A 20,400-nucleotide genomic window follows, 5' to 3' on the forward strand; every position below is an offset into this window, starting at 1 on the left:
AAATTATGCTTGTGCTGTCATGGAAGTTGCATTGGAGAAAAGGATATTTAACTGGCAAACAAAAGTCAGGAGAATGGGGAGATTTTGTTCTTTTGAAATGCTAGTGTGAAGTGCTAGGCTTATTTTTCAAATGCCCAACTCGTATTCTTTTCTTTTCTTTTTTTTTTGAGAGGGAGTCTCACACTGTCGCCCAGGCTGGAGTGCAGTGGGGCGATCTCGGCTCACTGCAAGCTCCGCCTGCTGGGTTGACGCCATTCTCCTGCCTCAGCCTCCGAGTAACTGGGACTACAGGCGCCCACCACCACGCCCGGCTAACTTTTTTTTTTTTTTTTTTGTATTTTTAGTAGAGACGGGGTTTCACCGTGTTAGCCAGGATGATCTTGATCTCCTGACCTCGTGATCCGCCCTCCTCAGCCTCCCAAACTGCTGGGATTACAGGCGTGAGCCACCGCGCCCAGCCGGCCAACTCGTATTCCTAAACGAATCATAATTTTACCATAAGACCATAGTTTAGTGATTGAAGAAAAAATGTACCGAACTGTATGATATGATGGTGTCAAAAAGAACTAACCCAATATGAAACAGTTTTCAGGAGCATGTTTCCTATTTTGGTGTCAGTGGACCACTTGTGTTAAAGTTGTGAAAACCAACACTCCTGAATTCCACCCAGAACTCACACTCTGCACCTTCAGAGGCCCTCAGATTGTGAGTGGCTGCCCCGAGGTGTACTACCAACCTCCAGCTTCCGTAGGTCCGTAGGTGTGCTAGTAGGGCCTAGGAAAAACAGAACAGATGAGGACAGTGATGCATACAGCTGCTTTATCTGGTCTCTCCTTCCTCCCTAGCCTGACTGCTATTGGAGGGCACCCTCCAGGCACAGTTCTGTTCACAGCCTGCTGCTGCCCCCGTGGGCCATGGTTCCAGGACGGCTCCATCTTCTGTGCTTTGGGCACATTAACCTCTCCCAGCGTCACTATCTTCATCAGCAAAATGGAGATAACATTAGTACCACCTCATAAAGTTGTTATGAGGATCACCAGTGAGATAATCAATCTAAAGTGCTTACAACAATGCTTGGCACTTGGTAAACACTAAATAAATGATAGTTGCTATTATATGCATACTTTTAAAAAACTTGATGCTTTTAAAAATTTTTTCTGCTGACTAGTGAATTGTTCAGTTTTTGTTGTTGTTGTTGTTGTTGTTGTTGTTTGAGACGGAGTCTCGCTCTGTCGCCCAGGCTGGAGTGCAGTGGCATGATCTCGGCTCACTGCAAGCTCCACCCCCCGGATTCACGCCATTCTCCTGCCTTAGCCTCCCGAGTAGCTGGGATTACAGGCGCCGGCCACCACGCCCGGCTAATTTTTTTGTATTTTTAGTAAAGACGGGGTTTCACCTTGTTAGCCAGGATGGTCTCGATCTCCCGACCTCATGATCTGCCCACCTCGGCCTCCCAAAGTGCTGGGGTTACAGGCATGAGCCACCGTGCCCGGCCATGAATGGTTCAGTTTTAACAGGTTCTGTGCCTTAAAAAAGTTATTAAATTGACTGTTTCCTCCTTTTTTGTACCCATCATACTTTGAATATATAACTACGGCAGCATATAAACACTTCACTTGCACTTATTTATTTAAATGTCCATCTTTCCATAACCCAAGGGTAGGAACGAAATCTTATTCATTGTTGAAACCTCTAGCACATAGCACAGTGCCTACCAAATAGTAGGCAAAATCAGGTGTTCAATTCTATTAACTACTCTAACACTGAACTGAAAGTGTTCAATGGCTCAAAATAATATAATAAGCCTTAACTCTGGGGTGCTTAAATTTATCTATAATCTCTGCCAGTGAAGTATACATAGTTTTAAAGGTTAAAAAAAAATCAAGTGTTTAATGAATTTGAGCTGATTGAGCACTGACCAGATACAGGATCCTTAAACTTCATAATATCTAGTCCAAAGATGAATTTTTTTTTTGGTACAGATTCTGACTTCAAGGGATTTGCAGGCTGGGAGGGAAATTAAATATATAAAAAGTCATTTTCGGCCAGGCGCTGTGGCTCATGCCTGTAATCCCAGCACTTTGGGAGGCCGGGCAGGTGGATCACTTGAGGTCAGGAGTTCAAGACCAGCCTGCCCAACATGGGGAAGCCCCATCTCTACTAAAAATACAAAAATTAGCTGGACTTTGTGGTGCTTGCCTGTAGTCCCAGCTACTCAGGAGGCTTAGGCAGAAGAATTGCTTGAACCTGGGAAGCGGAGGTTGTAATGAGCTGAGATCACACCACTGCACTCCAGCCTGGGCAACAGAGACAGACTCCAGCTCAAAAACAATACGTTTTTTTAATCTTGTCCCTTAATGGAAATATTGAGAAAATGTCTAGGGGAACTCGAAGGAGATGATTATAGGAGTTGATTATGTATGTAAAATCAAAGTGAATGAGGCAGTGGCAGGGGGGAAAGGGGGAACCAGTAATGACTTAGAAGTCCTAAGCATGTTGCATGGTAATTGTGACATTTGCTTCCTGCGAGCGGAGCTGACCTTGTGGTGTCCGTCCTAGGTACTCTCCTTTTTCTTCATTGGTCTGATGTCCATGATGATTCCTCTGTGTAGCATCTTTGGGGCCCTCATTGCTGTGTGCCTCATCATGGGTCTCTTCGATGGATGCTTCATTTCCATTATGGCTCCCATAGCCTTTGAGTTAGTTGGTGCCCAGGATGTCTCCCAAGCAATTGGATTTCTGCTCGGATTCATGTCTATACCCATGACTGTTGGCCCACCCATTGCAGGTAAATATAATGATTCTCCAGTAGTTATATTAATTCATAGTATTTTCTACTTCAGGTCTTAATTAAGTCTCATTTATATGTAAAACATATTACAGGTTATTGATTACTGGTCTTTTGCTTTTATGTGTGCCTTACTGGTAACATTTTTAATAAGACTAGCTATTAAACAGTATGTTGAATTTGCTGAAGAGTCCCTCTTATCCTTACTGGCAGCTAAAACACTATATAAAACACTTTGGGAGGCTGAGGCGGGAAGATCACCTGAGCTCAGGAGCTTGAGACCAGCCTGGACAACATAGTGAGACACTATCTCTACAAAAAATAAAAAATAAAAAAATTAGCCAGGCGTGGTGGCATGCATCTGCAGTCCCAGATGCACAGGAGGCTGAGGTGGGGGGATTGCTTGAGCCCAGAGGTCAAGGCTGCAGTGAGCTGTGATCATACCACTGTACCCCAGCCTAGGCGAAACCCTATCTTTAAAAAAAAAAAAAGTTGAAGATTCTGAAAGATTTCTAAATATGTCGGCTTTTGGTAAGAGATCATACATCCCCCTGAGGAGTAGTTGATGAAAAATAACATGATAGAAAAAACCCAAATGCCTGTAAATACCTAACTGGGTAAGCAAAATGTGGAATATCTACAGTGCAATATTATTCAGCCATAAAAAGGAGTAAGGTACAGAACTGATGCTACCAGGTGAATGGACCTCAAGAACATTATGCTAAGTGAAAGAAGCCAAACATAAAAGGTGACGTGGCTGGGCATGGTGGCTCACACCTGTAATCCCAGCACTTTGAGAGGCCAAGGCAGGAGAATCATTTGAGCTCAGGAGTTCCAGACTAGCTTGGGTAACATAGCAAGACCTTGTCTCTACTAAAAATAAAAAAAATTAGCCTGGCATGGTGACACATACTAATATTAGTGTAGTCCCACCTACTCCAGAGGCGGAGGCGAGAGGATCTATTGCGCCTGGGAGATCAAGGCTGCAGAGCCGTGATAGCACCACTGCACTCCAGCCTGGGTGACAGAGTGAGACCCTGTCTCAAAATAAAAGGTCATATATCGTATGATTTATTTCATGTGAAATATCCAAAATAGGTAAATTCATACAGATAGAAAACTGGTGACTGCCAGGGGCTGGAGAGAAAGGGATTGGGAAGTAACTACTTAATTGGAATGAAGTGTCCTTTTGGCATGATGAAAATATTTTGGAACTAAATAGAAGCAGTGGGTGCAAAACATTGTGTATGTGCTAAATGCCACTGAATTGTTCACTTTCAAATGGTTAATTCTATTTCATGTGAATTCCACCTCTAGAAATTCTCTGAATGATATTATAAAGATGTCCTATGTTCAGTATTACTTGGGTGCCTGTGTCAATTAGTATTAGAAGATTCAGTATAAATATGATAAAATTTAAATGTGTGTACTGTCATCTGTGTTTGGCACATGAGGTGCTCAGTGAAGGTTTAGCTCAATTCATTCTCATACCCTGAACTGTATTCCTAGTCATGAATCAAGCAAGCAGAGTTACTACTGAGCAGACCAAATCCAGTTTAAGTTCAAAAGGTCATGGTCTCCTTATAGGAGAACCCTCCATTCCTTCTTCTCTCCCGCAGGTAATATAGTATTCACTCTTCTTTCTATAGCCTACAAGCTTAGTTTTATAGTTTCTAAGTCCACAGCAGATTTTATATAAGCAGCACTCTAGTAGTAAATAGTTTTGCTACCAGAAGTGACAGTTAACAGAGCAAGAATAAGGGAGGTAACAGGAAACTTCTAAAGCAGGCAGAACACCACCACACAGCAACTGGCAGCAGAAAGCTGCTGGCTCACCAGGAGGCTCTGAGGGCATCATAGTATTACAGCAGAACATAATCATGAGTGTTCATAAGGAGGAAGAGTTCAGGAATGGTCTGATTCCAAAGATAGAAAACTTGTGCATTTACAGATATTGTCTATTTTATATATGCAGAATGGATGTACACATTTTTATGTGTTGGTACTTAATTGGACAAATGGTCAGCTATTTATTTAACAATGTCAGATAGATATTTAGTACAGTATATTCCCTGGACATTTTAGATAACTTAGGTTTTATAGTATAAGTTATAAGAGTTTAAAAACACTAAGATAACTTTTAAAACCATGAGTCCTGGAATTTGTTAGAGAAATTAGAAATGTTGAGTACCGTAAAAGTTTTCAGAAGCAGAACCCGAATATAGAATGCCATTAATAATTCTTATATACTTACATTTTCTTCCAGGTACTTATAAACCTTAGTCTATTTCCAAAATGTATTTAACAACCTAACTTTCATCCAAATTATTAAATTTAAAATTTTTCTTAATTTTGAATTATGATGTTAAATAGTTTTCATGTTATTTCATAAAAAACAAATACACCAAAGAGTAGTTTGAAAGCTGGGCATGGTGGCTCATGCCTGTAATCTCAGCATTTTGGGAGGCTGAGGTGGGAGGATTGCTTTAGCCTAGGAGCTTGAGACCAGCCTGGGTAATGTGACAAAACCCCATCTCTACAAAAAATATAAAAATTAGCCAGGCATGGTAGCATGCACCTGTAGTCCCAGCTACTCAAGAGGCTGAGCTGGGAGGATCAATTGAGCTTGGGAAGTCAAGGCCTGCATGAGCCATGATTATGCTACCGCACTCCAGCCTGGGTGACACAGTGAGACCCTGTCTCAAAAAAAAAAAAACGTCTACCTTTCTATCTTTTCAAGTAATGTCTTGGTATGAAAATCCAGAGGACTGTACTTTATGACAACGTTAAAGATATGAGATCTTTTTCTTCCTATCAAAAAGGGTTTATATTTCAGATCTGTTTCCTAAAAAAAAAAAAAAGTCTGATGTCTGAGATGTCTGAATCAGTCCTGTGGCTGATCTAGACCCCCTACAGAGCCACACTTGTTCTCCCTTGGTGACAGCTTTTTCCCTTCTCAGGGTTACTTCGTGACAAACTGGGCTCCTATGATGTGGCATTCTACCTCGCTGGAGTCCCTCCCCTTATTGGAGGTGCTGTGCTTTGTTTTATCCCGTGGATCCATAGTAAGAAGCAAAGAGAGATCAGTAAAACCACTGGAAAAGAAAAGATGGAGAAAATGTTGGAAAACCAGAACTCTCTGCTGTCAAGTTCATCTGGAATGTTCAAGAAAGAATCTGACTCTATTATTTAATATCTTACATACCTCCACCAGACTGGACTTGCTTTTTGAATTTTAAGCAAGTTTCCTTTCCTTTTATACAAATTGCAAATTTCATATTTTTTTAATCACATCCTAGGAATAGCACAATAATTGGGAAATAGAACCCTTATCACTAGAAGAACCATTTTCTGCCACTAAATATCTCTGATGTTTCCATGAGTCTGAGGGCAGAGACTCTGGTATATGAAAACGTCTGAAAGTCACATATTGTGAAAATTTGAAGCTATCTCAGTAAAAAGCAGCTTTGGAAACTGTGAATGATCTTTAGCTTGTACAAATGTTTAAAAATACCTCAGGCTATACTGAAAGGGTTGCAGTTTGGTTAGGAGTGGAAATATTTTGTTTGTTAATGATGTCTTCAGTTCTGGTACCTCTGTTTTACTTTCTTATGCTCTTTGGAAACTTTTTGCAAAATTTAAGCCTGGGTTCTAGATAATACCAGATCTACCTAAACCTCAAGTCTATGTTAAAGTTGCTTTCCTGCTGTTAAATAAGCTATGATATTAAGATATTCTGACTTGCTCCAGTGTCAAGGGACCTTCTGGGAGCAGGTGCTAACATAGTGTTCAGAATCAATATGTGAGATGAAAAGGATCCCCTCCAGGAGGATCCTGAGCTGTTCAGAAATCATTTAAGTTTACAGCGTTGTTCCCTTTGCGTTTGCAGTGCGTTTTACTCAAGTAGCCAGAAACACCCCACGTTTCTGAATTTGTTTAAACTGTAACAATAAAGTAAAATAGAATGCATGAAAGATATTCTGGCGATTGTAACTTAGAATTTTTCTGACTTCTGGATTTGTTGGCACTAGAACCTGATATTTAAAGTCTTACTGAGCAGCTATCAAGTGGCAGTTACAGGCACAAATTGGTGGAGGCTGGAGGATGGGGAGGGGAGCAAAACCCTTTATATTTGTGAAGAAAATATCTGTAGCTGATAGAAATAATTGCTTAAATTGGTTTATGAAATTAATGAGTCTGAAAAGGTTAAAAGCACTTATAAAAAGAACCAAGTCCTACATTTCCAGAACTTTCTGGCAAAAATTTGCACTCATATTATTTATCCTATGAACATTCCCATTGTTTTTTTTTGCTATTTATATACAGATTATCATAAGAAAGCTCTCAGTTTGAGGACCCAAAATAAAACCAAAGTCATGCCATGACCCATACTCATTTACAAAAACAAGAACACTTTCCTCTATCCCTAAAATTATGCTTTAGTACTTGAGGCCTTTAAAAGTTAGTGCTTTTGATTGTGAAGACATTCAGCAACTTACTTTGTCATACATGCAGTTGCACCTTACCACTTCTAATAGTGTCATATTTCATATTCAGGGGACTTAGATAATTTGCCTGTGGATGGTTCTTTTGCAGGAAAAAAAATCTACATTTTGACCATACTACCCTTTCATGTCCTTATTATAAGCTTTTAGAAAATGATTTCATTCAGTCATGTCCAGTTATATAAAACGTTACTTTCTCATTTTTGAGAAGTTCAACAAAACATACTACTAAGACCAATCATCAAACCCACTATTATAAATGTTAATTTTGGCTGGGTAAGGTGGCTTGCGCCTATAATCCCAGCACTTTGGGAGGCTGAGGAGGGAAGATTGCTTGAGCCCAGGAGTTTGAGACCAGCCTGGGCAACATAGCAAGATCCTGTCTCTACTAAAAATAAAAAAAAAAATTAGGCCAAGCATAGTGGCTCATGCCTGTAATCCTAGCACTTTGGTAGTCCAAGGCAGGGGGATCACTTGAGCCCAGAAGTTCAAGACCAGCTTGGGTAACATAATGAGACCCTGTGTCTACAAAAAATTTAAAAATTAGCCAGGCATGATGGTGCCCACCTGTAGCCCCAGCTACTCAGAGGCTGAGGTAGTGGAAGGATTGCTTGAGCCTTGAGATGGAGGCTGCAGTGAGCTATGCCACTGTACTCTAGCCTGTTCAACTGAGCAGAACCCTGTCTGTAAAAGAAAATCAAAAACAAAAAATAAATGTTAAATTTTGTTTTAAGTTTTAGCACAGACTCCCCTCAAAACACCTTCTCCCCAATTTTACAGAAAGTAATTTAAAAATGAAAACTTTACTCTGTAAAGACCTCTACAGTGTTTTTCTTTTCAAAATTTGGCTGATTTTAGGAAAAAAGTGATCATCTGAAACTAAAAGAAATTGCTTGGTTAGTTTCCATATTAAAACAGCAGTGACAAGTATATATAACTTAGATCTCAGCATATGTGTTTGTATATTAAACTTCACATATGTAGTTTTCAGTTTAATGGAATGAATCAAACTGGATCTATAACACTGAAAAAGTTCTATTGTAATAGACTCATACGGAGAATACTCTGCTATAATAATATAAAATTAAGAAGAAAAAGTATAAACGTAAGATGCTAAATTCCATAAATGCATATTTAGTACTATGTTTTTTGTGGGAAAAGTTCTAAAAGTTTAAAATGCACAAAGAAAATGAAAAATACTAATATAAAAATTTGTGCTTTAATCTAGTCAAACTAAATCCTTTCTAATTTCTGAATGAAGTGTTACTGCTGCAATAAAGTGACCTGATAAGCCTAAATTTTTTGTGTTCAATCCAGACACTTTTCTGAGAGTCTGAAAAGAATACAGAGTCAGAACTCTGTTTTTATCTCCTCATCCTGTTTTTGATAAGACTCAGAAAATTCTCAAATTCGAAAGGTTCTGGCATTTGAGGCCAAAAAAAGCATGAAAGGGAGTAACATTCCTTTTTATAGATACTCTAGATTGGATACTATTGTAACAGATGGCCAAGAAACTTCCAGAAACATTTTGGTTAAATTTTATTGCAATGGATATTGCTGGGATCCATCCATTTAAGCAGTAATATACCACCCAGATTATTGATACTTTATGCAAGATGTGTTCATCTCTTTGATCATATTTACAATGCTTACTCCATAGCCCTGCTACAAGACTTAAAATTTCCACTGAAAATTGCATAGTTCTTGTATTAAGATTCAAATTCTGGCTGGGCGCAGTGGCTCACGCTTGTAATCCCAGCACTTTGGGAGGCTGAGGCAGGCGGATTGCCTGAGCTCAGGAGTTCGCAACCAGCCTGGGAAACACGGTGAAGCTCCATCTCTACTAAAATACAAAAAAATTAGCCAGGCGTGTCGGCATGCACCTGTAGTCCCAGCTACTCGGGAAGCTGAGGCAGGAGAAGAATCCAGGAGGCAGAGGTTGCAGTGAGGCGAGATTGCGCCACTGCACTCCAGCCTGGGCGACAGAGCGAGACTCCATCTCAAAAAAAAAAAAAAAAAGTAAAAGTACACACAGTTTAAAAGTAAACATGTTTACTTCGGATAATTCTAATCCTTTTAGCTGCATTTAAGAATATTTTAATTTATACGAATGTTACTTGAAATTGGCCTATGTCCAGATGACTTTTGATGTTAAATCAATGGAAAACTGAATAGAAAATATGACACGAGATCGGGGAGGGGGAAGGCAACCTATAGCATGGGTGGCTCTGAGGAGTTCCTGCTGGTGCACTTTCATGCCCTTTCTTATGTACCTTTTGTCTTACTCTTCTTACATTATTCTTATCCTCATCATTTTTTCATTTCCCTTTACTTCCTCCTATCCTTCAAAAACCTCCTGAAGAGTCCATTAACATCCATGCTTAGTTCCACTGGTTGCATGGCTGTATTTCCTACTGATCCCTGTAGTTTCACTGAATGGATCCCCACCCAATTTCGTGTATCCTGGTGAATGGCTTTCTCTCAGCCTTCGACTTAGTTCTAATGATCTACATTGAATTTAAATTACATGACTGAAATATTTAAGGGAAGAAATAAATTTCATACAAATTAGTATCTTTTATGCTAACATTTAAAACTGTATTTAAATTTTTAAGGTAAATGCTTTGGGGAAAAAAAAAACCATTGCCAAGTCTTTAGCATATTTTCAGAGAGCGTAATTTTTTACTTTGATTTCCAGTTTCACTAAGGTTTCATTAAATCTTAGTTCCGAGAGCCCAGCATGAAGGGTGACTGGGAATGTAGTGTGCCTCTCTGATGCAGTTCCTAATGATTGTTCTTCAGGGACCTTCCTTAGGTTAGGTTACATTTTCTGGTGAATGGTGTTAGAGTAAATTCCCAGAGTTTAGAGATACAAGTAGAAATGCATAAGCTAATTAGCTCCAATTTTATAATATGTAAACAATTTAAACAAGTATTTAAAACTTTTTAGGAAGTCTCTAACACTGAAAAAAAGGTCATTGTTGCTGGTATAAACATTAAGGAGCAACTTTTACATTAGGTCAAAGATTGTTGCTTTTCCAGTGTGTTGTCTTAAAAATAGAAGGAAATAAAACTATTACCTTCTTTTTACATCTATATGTTTTTATAATTTGAAAGGCAAGTAGTATCTTGGTGAATAAGAAATGCATCATCCATAACAATTTAATTAACTCTTAAAAAGACCAGCTTTTTGTCTTGTTATGAAAACAAAACGCAATTTGTCATTCATAATGGTAATGTGGAATAAGAATACATCGTAGAAGGAAGACTTGCTACTTTACTGACTTAATCATTAGTTCTAAGGCCATGTGTGGCGGCTCACGCCTGTAATCCCAGCACTTTGGGAGTCCAAGGCGGTAGGATCACCAGAGCCCAGGGTTCAAGACTCAGCCTGGGCAACATAGTGAGATTTCGTCTCTACAAAAAAAATTTAGCCAGCTTGGTGGCACATGCCTGTAGTCCCAGCTACTCAGGAGGCTGAGGCAAGAGGATTGCTTGAGCATAGCAGGTCAAGTCTGCAGTGAGCTGTGGTTGCACCACTGCACTCCAGCCTGGGTGACAAAATGAGACCTTGTCTACAAAAAGGAAAAAAAAATTTGTTCTGCTCTACTATACATGCTGACTTTTGTTGATAGCTTGGTCTAAAAAGACTGTCTAGAGCTGAATTTAAGAATGGTTCTGGAGCAAATAATAACAAGGTAGACAAGCAGGCCCTGGGCTCACTATAATTTCATAGCCACGACCTGTTTATTATTAGTTGGCAGAGATTAATGCTTTGTGTTATAAATATACTATAGAACAATAGGTCACGATTCTCAAGAACAAAGCCGAATGCTCGCAGTTAAGTGTGAAGCTTGCATAAGTGTCGGAACCACAATTATGGACCCACCATCAATGTGCATTTTATCAGATGACTCCTCCTGAGACAGTAAAGACTCCTGGAAAATTCATGACATCTTTGAATCACTCAGAAAAATCTTGAAACTCAGGACGTAGTTTACTTAGCTTGCCTTTTTTAAAATTATCAAATTTTAAATCGTAAACTTTGTCTTCACTTCCACACGTTCAAGGACACCTCTTTTAAAGTTCAGTGTTCCATACTAAAGGGGTGTAATCTTGCTTTCTGGGGAAATAAAATTCCCCATGGTACTATATTCCTGACAGATATAAAATAACATGAGGCTACCTCATTTTTGAAATAGATTTCAATATTTTTATTAGTAAGTTGGAAAGACAGTAGGAACAAAATGAAACCTTTCTAAGTACTTGATGACACCCACTTGATCATGACAATTCATCTACCTCCGCTTTCCGTGTCCAGCTGAAAGCCCAGCTGAGTCAACTCCTGCTTCATCAGAAGGGAGCTAATGGTGATTCTGGGATTAAAAAGCAAGGGGGGTGCAAATTGTTAGTGGGGTCAAAATATCAGTAAAATTTCTTAAGTGCTTTGTTCTGATAAACGGATGTAAAAGTAACAAAAAAGGAATAACAACTAATATGGCCTGTGGATCTGACAAAGAAAAACCTGAAGAAATTCAGAATCTAGATACACTTAGATTCTAAATTAGACACACTCAGATTCTAATGAACACTTAGAATGCTTCGCCAGTGGCTTTTCAAGTTACACTGGAAGCTTGATTATGAAAAAGTTTTGTTTTCATTGGCAAGAGGGTAGATGATCAGTGATGACAGATTGTACAGCTGTGCCCAAACCTGACAACTTACACATTAAACTCCTGTAAGAGACACTCCTTCCTAGTAGAACAAGGACTGGGACAATGAATTTTTGACTCACTGGAGTTTTTTAAAATGCTGTTCTTGAGTGTGGCAATAGTGTAGGAGTTAACCCAGTCTACCCAAAGAAGTTGCTTTGCCTTTCAATATGAGTGCTATAAAAAGAGTATTTTGGAGTTCAATGTCCCTAAACATGTATGCGATAGGAACTACCAATATAAAATAACACTTAGAACTCAAATTAGATTGGTAATACTATTTTGGAGCCTGTGATGTATGACTTTTATTCTTTACTAGATATTTTTCAGTATCCGTCATTAGAAGAGTCAGTTTGTTAAATATTTTAAATGTGTAAACACAAAACCTTTCTACTGTGATCTTCCCTAATGAGTCAAAGTATCTTTCATAATTCAGTCTATATTGAAATGTTATTTCAGGAATGGAGGGTTTGTTATTAATAGTGCTGGGCCGGGCACGGTGACTCATGCCTGTAATCCCAGCACTTTGGGAGGCCGAGACAGGCGAATCACCTGAGGTCAGATGTTGGAGACCAGCCTGACCAACATGGAGAAACCCCATCTCTACCAAAAATACAAAATTAGCCGGGCGTGGTGGCTCCATGCTGTAATCCCAGCTACTCGGGAGGCTGAGGCAGGAGAATTGCTTGAACCCAGGAGGTGGAGGTTGCAGTGAGCCAAGATTGCACCATAGCACTCCAGCCTGGGCAACAAGAGCAAAACTCTGTCTCAAAAAAAAAAAAAAAAAAAATAGTGCTGCATTTTGACCCTGGACTATGAACAGACTGTATAGTTGGTGCCTCTTTTTTTTCTACCAAAGATTATTAGATCAAGATTGGTGCTATACTTCATGTTCCTTTCAAAATTATTTTTCTTTTAAAAATATTAATATACAACACAATAGAAAATGTATACAGCCAGCAACGTTATGCATGTTGCATGTTATATACATGACTGAGGAAAAAAGCTCACCTATACAGTGATTATTGAGTTCCAGTATCTAGTTAGAGGTATGCAATTTTTGTTAACATATAAGACTTTAAATTACGAAACTCACAAGAAAATGATCACCAAATGAGAATGTTCTAATGAACACAACCTCCCAAGGTAATAATTTTAAAGAAAAAGTCCCTTGTCAATGTTTCTAGCACAAAGTGAGGGATTTAAATATATTCTGTAACTTTGAGGCAATGTGAAAAAGTTATATATAATAGCTTCCTATTGAGCTGGCTTATGTAGACATTTGGACATTTGAAACTATTTCGCAACTTTCAGGCTAAAATCAGAGTTTTGAGAGTCATCAATCTTAAAACATGGATAATGAGTTATTTGCACAGTTATATTTTTATAATTATTTGAAATTTATCACTGAAAGTATCATTGTTTGTCTTTCAGATTTAACATAAACAATAAGTACTGCGGCTGGGTCACTGTCAGCAAATCTCAGGTCTATGATTTATCAAGGGCTCTCAGCACCATCGTTGGTCTGATTGTGTAACACCTAAGTAAAATAACATATGGGTCTCCTTGGCCAGGCGCCGTGGCTCACACCTGTAATCCCAGCACTTTGGGAGGCCAAGGCAGGCGGATTGCTTGAGGCCAGGAGTTCGAGACATACGGGTCTCTTTAATGTTCTGTAGGTAGGATTCAGATGAATTGAGAATGACAGGTTTCTTTTTCTTTCTTTGTTTCTTTTTTTTTTTTTTTTTTGAGATGGAGTCTTGCTCTATTGCCAGGCTCCATATAGTGGCGCGATCTCAGCTCACTGCAACCTCCGCCTCCCGGGCTCAAGTGATTCTCGTGCCTCAGTCTTCTGAGTAGCTGGGACTACAGGTGCCCACTACCACACCGGCTAATTTTTGTATTTTTGGTAGAGATGGAGTTTCACCATGTTGGCCAGACTGGCCTTAAGTGATCCACCTGCCTCAGCCTCCCCAAGTGCTGGAATTACAGGCATGAGCCACCATGCCCGGCTAGAGAATGACAGGTTTCAGTTGAATTCTTCTCTTTTAAAAGACCCTGACTTAACTGTATTTTATGAGGATTTTATAAATGTAAATTAAGAAGACAATACACACTCTCATTTTCCTAATTAGAAAGACTATGCATTCACAATCCAGTACACTGGATTTGCTCTGGTAACTAATGATAACACTTTTCTACGTTAACATGAGTTATATTTGGCAGAGAGAATGGAAGCTTGCTAATCAGAAGTTACATTAGGGTGAGATTAAACATCACTCTAATAATAACTTCTGATGTAACTTAATGTGGTTTGAGATGTGTAAGATTGTAGAGGCATTGCACAATGCTTGATAAAAGTTGCATTTTGCTTTTGTTCTTCCACCAGTTTATTTTAGCCTTAAAGTTATAGCTACAACAAATTGAACCCTGTAGTTATTACTGAAAGAGAGTGTGGATATTTTAAGTATCTCCTAGTATAATATGACATTGTTCATGTGGACTTATTTTAATGTTTATTTGAAAATTAATTTTTTAATTATTTTGTATATTTTGAGTTAGAAAAACACACTTTATCTTAGACACCAAAGCCAAATTATTCCAAGTGTATGCTATACACCGCAGTGCAGCTCTGCTTCTCTCCCAACCTACCCTGGGGCCATTTTTGGCACAATAGTTGTTCAAATGTAGATCACTATGCTGAATGCTCATGCTGGATTTGACCAGTATGCAGTATTTTAGTACTTTTTAAAAAATGTATGCTTCTTTTTGAAGACTATAATTTACAATTTTTTTAATAATGTGCAATTTAATATAGATAACCAAAATCTTTTTAATGAAAAGATCTTTACAATTGCTTGGAGGATAAGATTATTTTACTGTGGAAAAATGTGATACTCTTAGTAAATGCAATAAAAACTTTTTAGCAAATTCCTATAAGGCTTTGTGGTTATGTTTGTGGAATTCTCTGGAGGGTGGGGGAGGGGAAATTATTGAAACGAAAGGAATAGTTTATGTTGAATAAAAGAAATAAGCTGTGTGCTTTTTACATTGCATATCTGTATTCTACATGCGTTTGGGTACTGTTATTTCCCCGGAGCAGGGAACAGGGATAGAAATGATCCAAAAGCTTTAGATAGTCTAAAAACCACTTCTATTTGACGCTTACTTTTTTTGTACTTGACTTACATTGCCATTTTTCTTACATTGATTACACTTACTAAATTCAGATGATACTCAGTGAGCTTCTACTGACTGACAATTTTAGGGGATAGTCAAGAACCAGGCTGTAAAAAAAAAAAGCAGTCCCATTACTGTGGATTGCTTGCTTGGATAAAAACTGACTCTGCCATCAGAAGATGTTTATGATTTGATGAGCCTTAACTACAAAGCAAATCATTATTTATGTTTAATAGTACTAATGAGATTTAATACATTAAACTCAAGAACTTGGCATTTGTGATATGTCATTTAATCCAAAAAGTATTTACATGTCAGAATGTGTAGGCCATTAGAAGACCTTTGAGGGAACTGAGGAGAGAATAGATATGACCAATTGTTACTGATCTTAAGCAGGATAAAATTCATTCTCCTGAGGAAAATTTTGGGTTTTTTTTGTTTTTTCTGAGATGGAGTTTCACTTTTATCACCCAGGCTGGAGTGCAATGGCGCGATCTTGGCTCACTGCAACCTCTGCCTCTCGGGTTGAAGTGATACTCCTGCCTCAGCTTCCCGAGAAGCTGAGATTACAGGCACCCACCAACACACCCGGCTAATTTCTGTATTTTTAGTAGAGAGGGGGGGTTTCACCATGTTGGCCAGGCTGGTCTCGATCTCCTGACCTCAGGTGATCTGCCAACGTTGGCCTCCCAAAGTGTGGGATTATAGGCATGAGCCACCACGCCTGGCCAGAAAATAATTTTTATAGAAAAAAATAGAAGAATTCTAATTCATACCGAAAACCTAATTTAAGAGACATACCAATTACCATAGTATCAGGCTTTTAGGACTGAAAGTTCTGAGTCTCCTATAGGTGAATCTAATACTTTTTAAATTCAGGAGTTCTTTTTATAAATCCTTAAATCAGAGTCACCAGTGTTTTCTTCCAGAGATAGGAAGCTTACCACCCTGCATGGTGGTCCCCTCCACAGCTGGGCCCTCTGCTTCTCTTTCTTACCCCATACAGCTCTACCACCTTCTATTGTCTGTGTCACAGTCATCTGTGGACCCCCCAGTCATTCTCATATATCCATCTGTATGCCAGCAAATGGCTTTTGGTCCAAGGCTCAGTATTCATGTGGAGCAACTTTATTTCCACTAATTTAACAGAGACACTTGGAGCCTTGTCATCTCTGGAAATGGCTTCATCTTTGAAATCTTAATACCAACACCCCTGCCTCTTATCAAAACTTCCCAGGTCTTTGCAGTTTTTACTTTGTTTCCTCCCTAATCCTTAACCCTAGGATCTACAAAACTGCAACCCCGCCCCCACCGCCCCAGTATTCCACTTACTATTGCCCCTACACCTTTCCTTTTCCAAATTAAATACCTCCAGCTTCTCCAACCATTTCTTCTCTCTCATATTATCAATTTCCCCCTCTATTGGATCATTTCCACCAGCATTCCCATATATACATGCTATTATTTCATCTTGACAAAAAAAGACTTTTTAATTTTTTTATTGTTATCTTTTTTTTGTTTTTGAGACAGAGTCTCGCTCTGTCGCCCAGGCTGGAGTGCAGTGGCACAATCTCGGCTCACTGCAACCTCCGCCTCCCGGATTCAAGCGATTCTCCCGCCTCAGCCTCTCGAGTAGCTGGGACCACAGGCACCTGCCAACACACAGCCAGCTAATTTTTGTATTTTTAGTAGAGACAGGGTTTCACTATGTTGGCCAGGCTGGTCTCATACTCCTGGCCTCGTGATCCGCCTGCCTCGGCCTCCCAAAGTGCTGGGATTACAGGTGTGAGCCACCGCGCCCAGCCTTGTTATCATTTTTTATAGAGACAGTGTTTCGCCATGTTGCTCAGGCTGGTCTTGAACTCCCAGACTCAAGCAATCTTCCTGTCTCAGCCTCCCAAAGTGCTGGGGTTACAGGCGTGAGCCACCGTGCCCAGTCTTGCATCACTTTTTTCTATCCATTCACAAAAGACTAAATAACCAACTTTTTTTTCTTGAAAAAATACGTATTTACTCTCTCCCATTTTATCTCGTATTCTCTTTTGAATCCACTCTATCAGGATTTTGCCTCTACCACTCCACTGAAACTGCCCTTCTCATCACTAGGTTACCACTGACCTCCACAATTACTAAATCCAATAGTCATTTTTCAGTCCTCATTTTATTTGAATTATCTACACTATTTGGTACAATATATCAATTCCTATCTCTGAATCAGGCTTCCAGGACACCACACTTACCTGGTTTTTCTCCTATCTTTCTAGCCACTCCTTTACTGGGTCCTGCTCATCTTCTAACCTCTAAATATTGGGAGTACATCAGAGCCTAGTTCTTGAACCCCTTCTGTATTTTATCCATATTCACTACCTAGATGATCTTGTCCTATCTCATGGCTTGAATTACTACCTAAATGCTGATGAAGCCCGAACCTCCCCCTTGAACTCCAGAGCCTTATATCTGCCAACCAAATGTCTCCTGTTCTGCAAGCAAATCCTATAGGCTCTGCTTCCAAAATATACCCAGAATTTCTCCATTTCTCACTATCACCACCGGCACTACCTTGATCCAAGCCATCATGTTCTCTTTTGTTCTTTGTTCTTTTACTTCCCCTCGGTCTTTTCTCCACACAGCAGCCAGCATGATCCTGTCAAAACAAGTCAGACGAAATCAGCCCCTTTGCTTCCTGTGGCTCCTTTTATCCCTCACAGAAAACCAAAGTCCTTACCATGACCAGCACAGCTCCACATGTTCTGGTCCCTGATACATCTCTGACCTTATCTCCTGCTCTCTGCTGATTCACTCTGGCCTCTCTCCACTTCCATCCTTGTATCACTGCCCCTGCCTGGGGTGCTCTTCCCCCAGCTATCCTCTTGGATTGCTCCCTTACCTCCTTCAGGTCTACTAGAAAGTCTCCTCTGTGAGGTGAAAGACCTCTACAAGGAAAACTACAAAACACTGCTGAAAGAAATATAGACAACACAAACAAATGAAAACACATCCCATGCTCATGGATGGGTAGAATCAATGTTGTGAAAATGACCATTCTGCCAAAAGCAATCTACAAATTCAATGCAATTCCTATCAAAATACCACCATCATTCTTCACAGAACTAGAAAAAACAATCCTAAAATTCATATGGAACCAAAAAAGAGCCCGCATAGCCAAAGGAAGACTAAGCAGAAAAAAAAAAAAAAAAATCTAGAGGCATTACAGGCATTACATTACCTGACTTCAAACTATACTAAAAGGCCAGTGTCACCAAAACAGCATGGTACCTGTATAAAAACAGGCATATAGACCAATGGAACAGAATACAGAACCCAGAAATAAAGTCAAATACTTAACAGTCAACTGATCTTCGACAAAGCAAACAAAAACAAAGTGAGGAAAGACACCCTATTCAACACATGGTGCTGGGATACTTGGAAAGCCACATGTGGAAGAATGAAACTGGATTCAGATCTCTCACCTTATACAAAAATCAACTCAAAATGGATCAAAGACTTAAATCTAAGACCTGAAGCCATAAAAATTCTAGAAGATAACATAGGAAAAACCATTGCCTTGGCTTAGGCAAAGACTTCATGACCAAGAACCCAAAAGCAAACCCAATAAAAACAAAGATAAATAGATGGGACTTAAACTAAGAAGCTTCTGTACAGCAAAAGAAACAATCAGCAAAGTAAACAGACAACTTACAGAGTGGGAGAAAATCTTCACAATCTATGCATCTGACAAAGGACTAATAGCCAGAATCTACAAGGAACTCAAACAAATCAGCAAGAAAAAAACAAATAATCCCATCAAAAAGTGGGCTAAGGACATGAATAGACAATATGAAAAGAAGATATACAAATGACCAACAAACATATGAAAAAATGCTCAACATCACTAATGATCAGAGAAATGCAAATCAAAACCATGATGTGAAACCACCTTACTCCTGCAAGAATGGCCATAATAATAATAAAAAAATAATGGAGCTGGCATGGTTGTGATGAAAAGGGAACACTTTTACACTGTTGGTGGAAATGTAAACTAGTACAACCCCTGTGGAAAACAGCACGGAGATTTCTTAAAGAACTAAAAGAAGGGCCGGGTGCGGTGGCTCACGCCTGTAATCCCAACACTTTGGGAGGCCAAGGTGGGCAGATCACGAGGTCAGGAGATCGAGACCATCCTGGCTAACATGGTGAAACCCCGTCTCTACTAAAATTACAAAAAAATTAGCCGGGCGTGGTGGTGGGTGCCTGTAGTCCCAGCTGCTTGGGAGGCTGAGACAGGAGAATGGTGTGAACCCAGGAGGCGGAGCTTGCAGTGAGCCGAGATTGCGCCACTGCACTCCAGCCTGGGCGACAGAGCGAGACTCTGTCTCAAAAAAAAAAAAAAAAAAAGAACTAAAAGAAGATTTACCATTTGATCCAGTAATCCCTCACCTGGGTATCTACCCAGAGGAAAAGAAGTCATTACACAAAAAAGATACTTGTGCACGCATGTTTATAGCAGCACAATGCACAACTACAAAATATGGAACCAGCCTAAATGGCCATCAAGCAACAAGTTGATAAAGAAAATGTGGTATATATATACATACACCATGGAATACTAAGCCATAAAAAGGAACAAAATAATAGCATTTGCAGCAACCTGGATGGAATTGGAGACCATTATTCTAAGTGAAGTAACTCAGGAATGGAAAACCAAACATCATATGTTCTCACTCATAAGTGGGAGCTAAGCTATGAGGACACAAAGACATAAGAATGAGACAATGGACTTTGGGGACTCAGGGGAAAGGATAAGAGTGGGGTGAGGGATAAAGGACTACACATTGGGAACAGTCTATACTGCTTGGGTGACGGGTGCACCAAAATCTCAGAAATCACCACTAAAGAGCTTACTCATGTAACCAAACACGACTTGTTCCCCAAAACTCCATTGAAAATTTTTTTTTTTTGAGATGAAGTCTCACTCCGTCGCCAGGCTGGAGTGCAGTGGCACGATCTCAACTCACTGCAACCTCCGCCTCCCGGATTCAAGCGATTCTCCTGCCTCAGCCTCCTGAGTAGCTGGGACTACAGGTGCACACCACCATGCCCAGCTAATTTTTGTATTTTTAGTAGAGACGGAGTTTCACCATGTTGGTCAGGCTGGTCTCAAACTCCCAACCTCAGGTGATCTGCCTGCCTTGGCCTCCCAAAGTGCTGGATTACA

The 20,400-nt window shown here is 39.6% G+C and overlaps 1 protein-coding gene and 1 long non-coding RNA gene across 3 annotated transcripts in view; one reads left to right on the forward strand and one right to left on the reverse strand.

Annotated features, from left to right (window-relative positions):
- The window catches only part of SLC16A10 (solute carrier family 16 member 10), a 143,692-nt gene extending 128,752 nt beyond the window's left edge, over positions 1–14,940 (forward strand). The window contains exons 5-6 of the mRNA NM_018593.5: positions 2,560–2,788; positions 5,749–14,940. Coding sequence (NP_061063.2) covers positions 2,560–2,788; positions 5,749–5,981 — 462 coding nt within the window. The 3' untranslated portion in view covers positions 5,982–14,940. The remainder of the gene's footprint in view (positions 1–2,559; positions 2,789–5,748) is intronic.
- SLC60A2-DT (SLC60A2 divergent transcript) overlaps positions 11,493–20,400 on the reverse strand; it is a 31,466-nt gene continuing 22,558 nt past the window's right edge. For both annotated transcript variants that reach the window (XR_001743807.2, XR_001743806.2), the window contains exons 2-3: positions 17,745–17,829; positions 11,493–11,669 (exon numbers count right to left, since the gene is read on the reverse strand). This is a non-coding gene — a long non-coding RNA (SLC60A2 divergent transcript). The remainder of the gene's footprint in view (positions 11,670–17,744; positions 17,830–20,400) is intronic.

The sequence above is a fragment of the Homo sapiens genome, chromosome 6 (assembly GCF_000001405.40).
Source record: "Homo sapiens chromosome 6, GRCh38.p14 Primary Assembly".
Classification (NCBI taxonomy): Eukaryota; Metazoa; Chordata; class Mammalia; order Primates; family Hominidae; genus Homo; species Homo sapiens.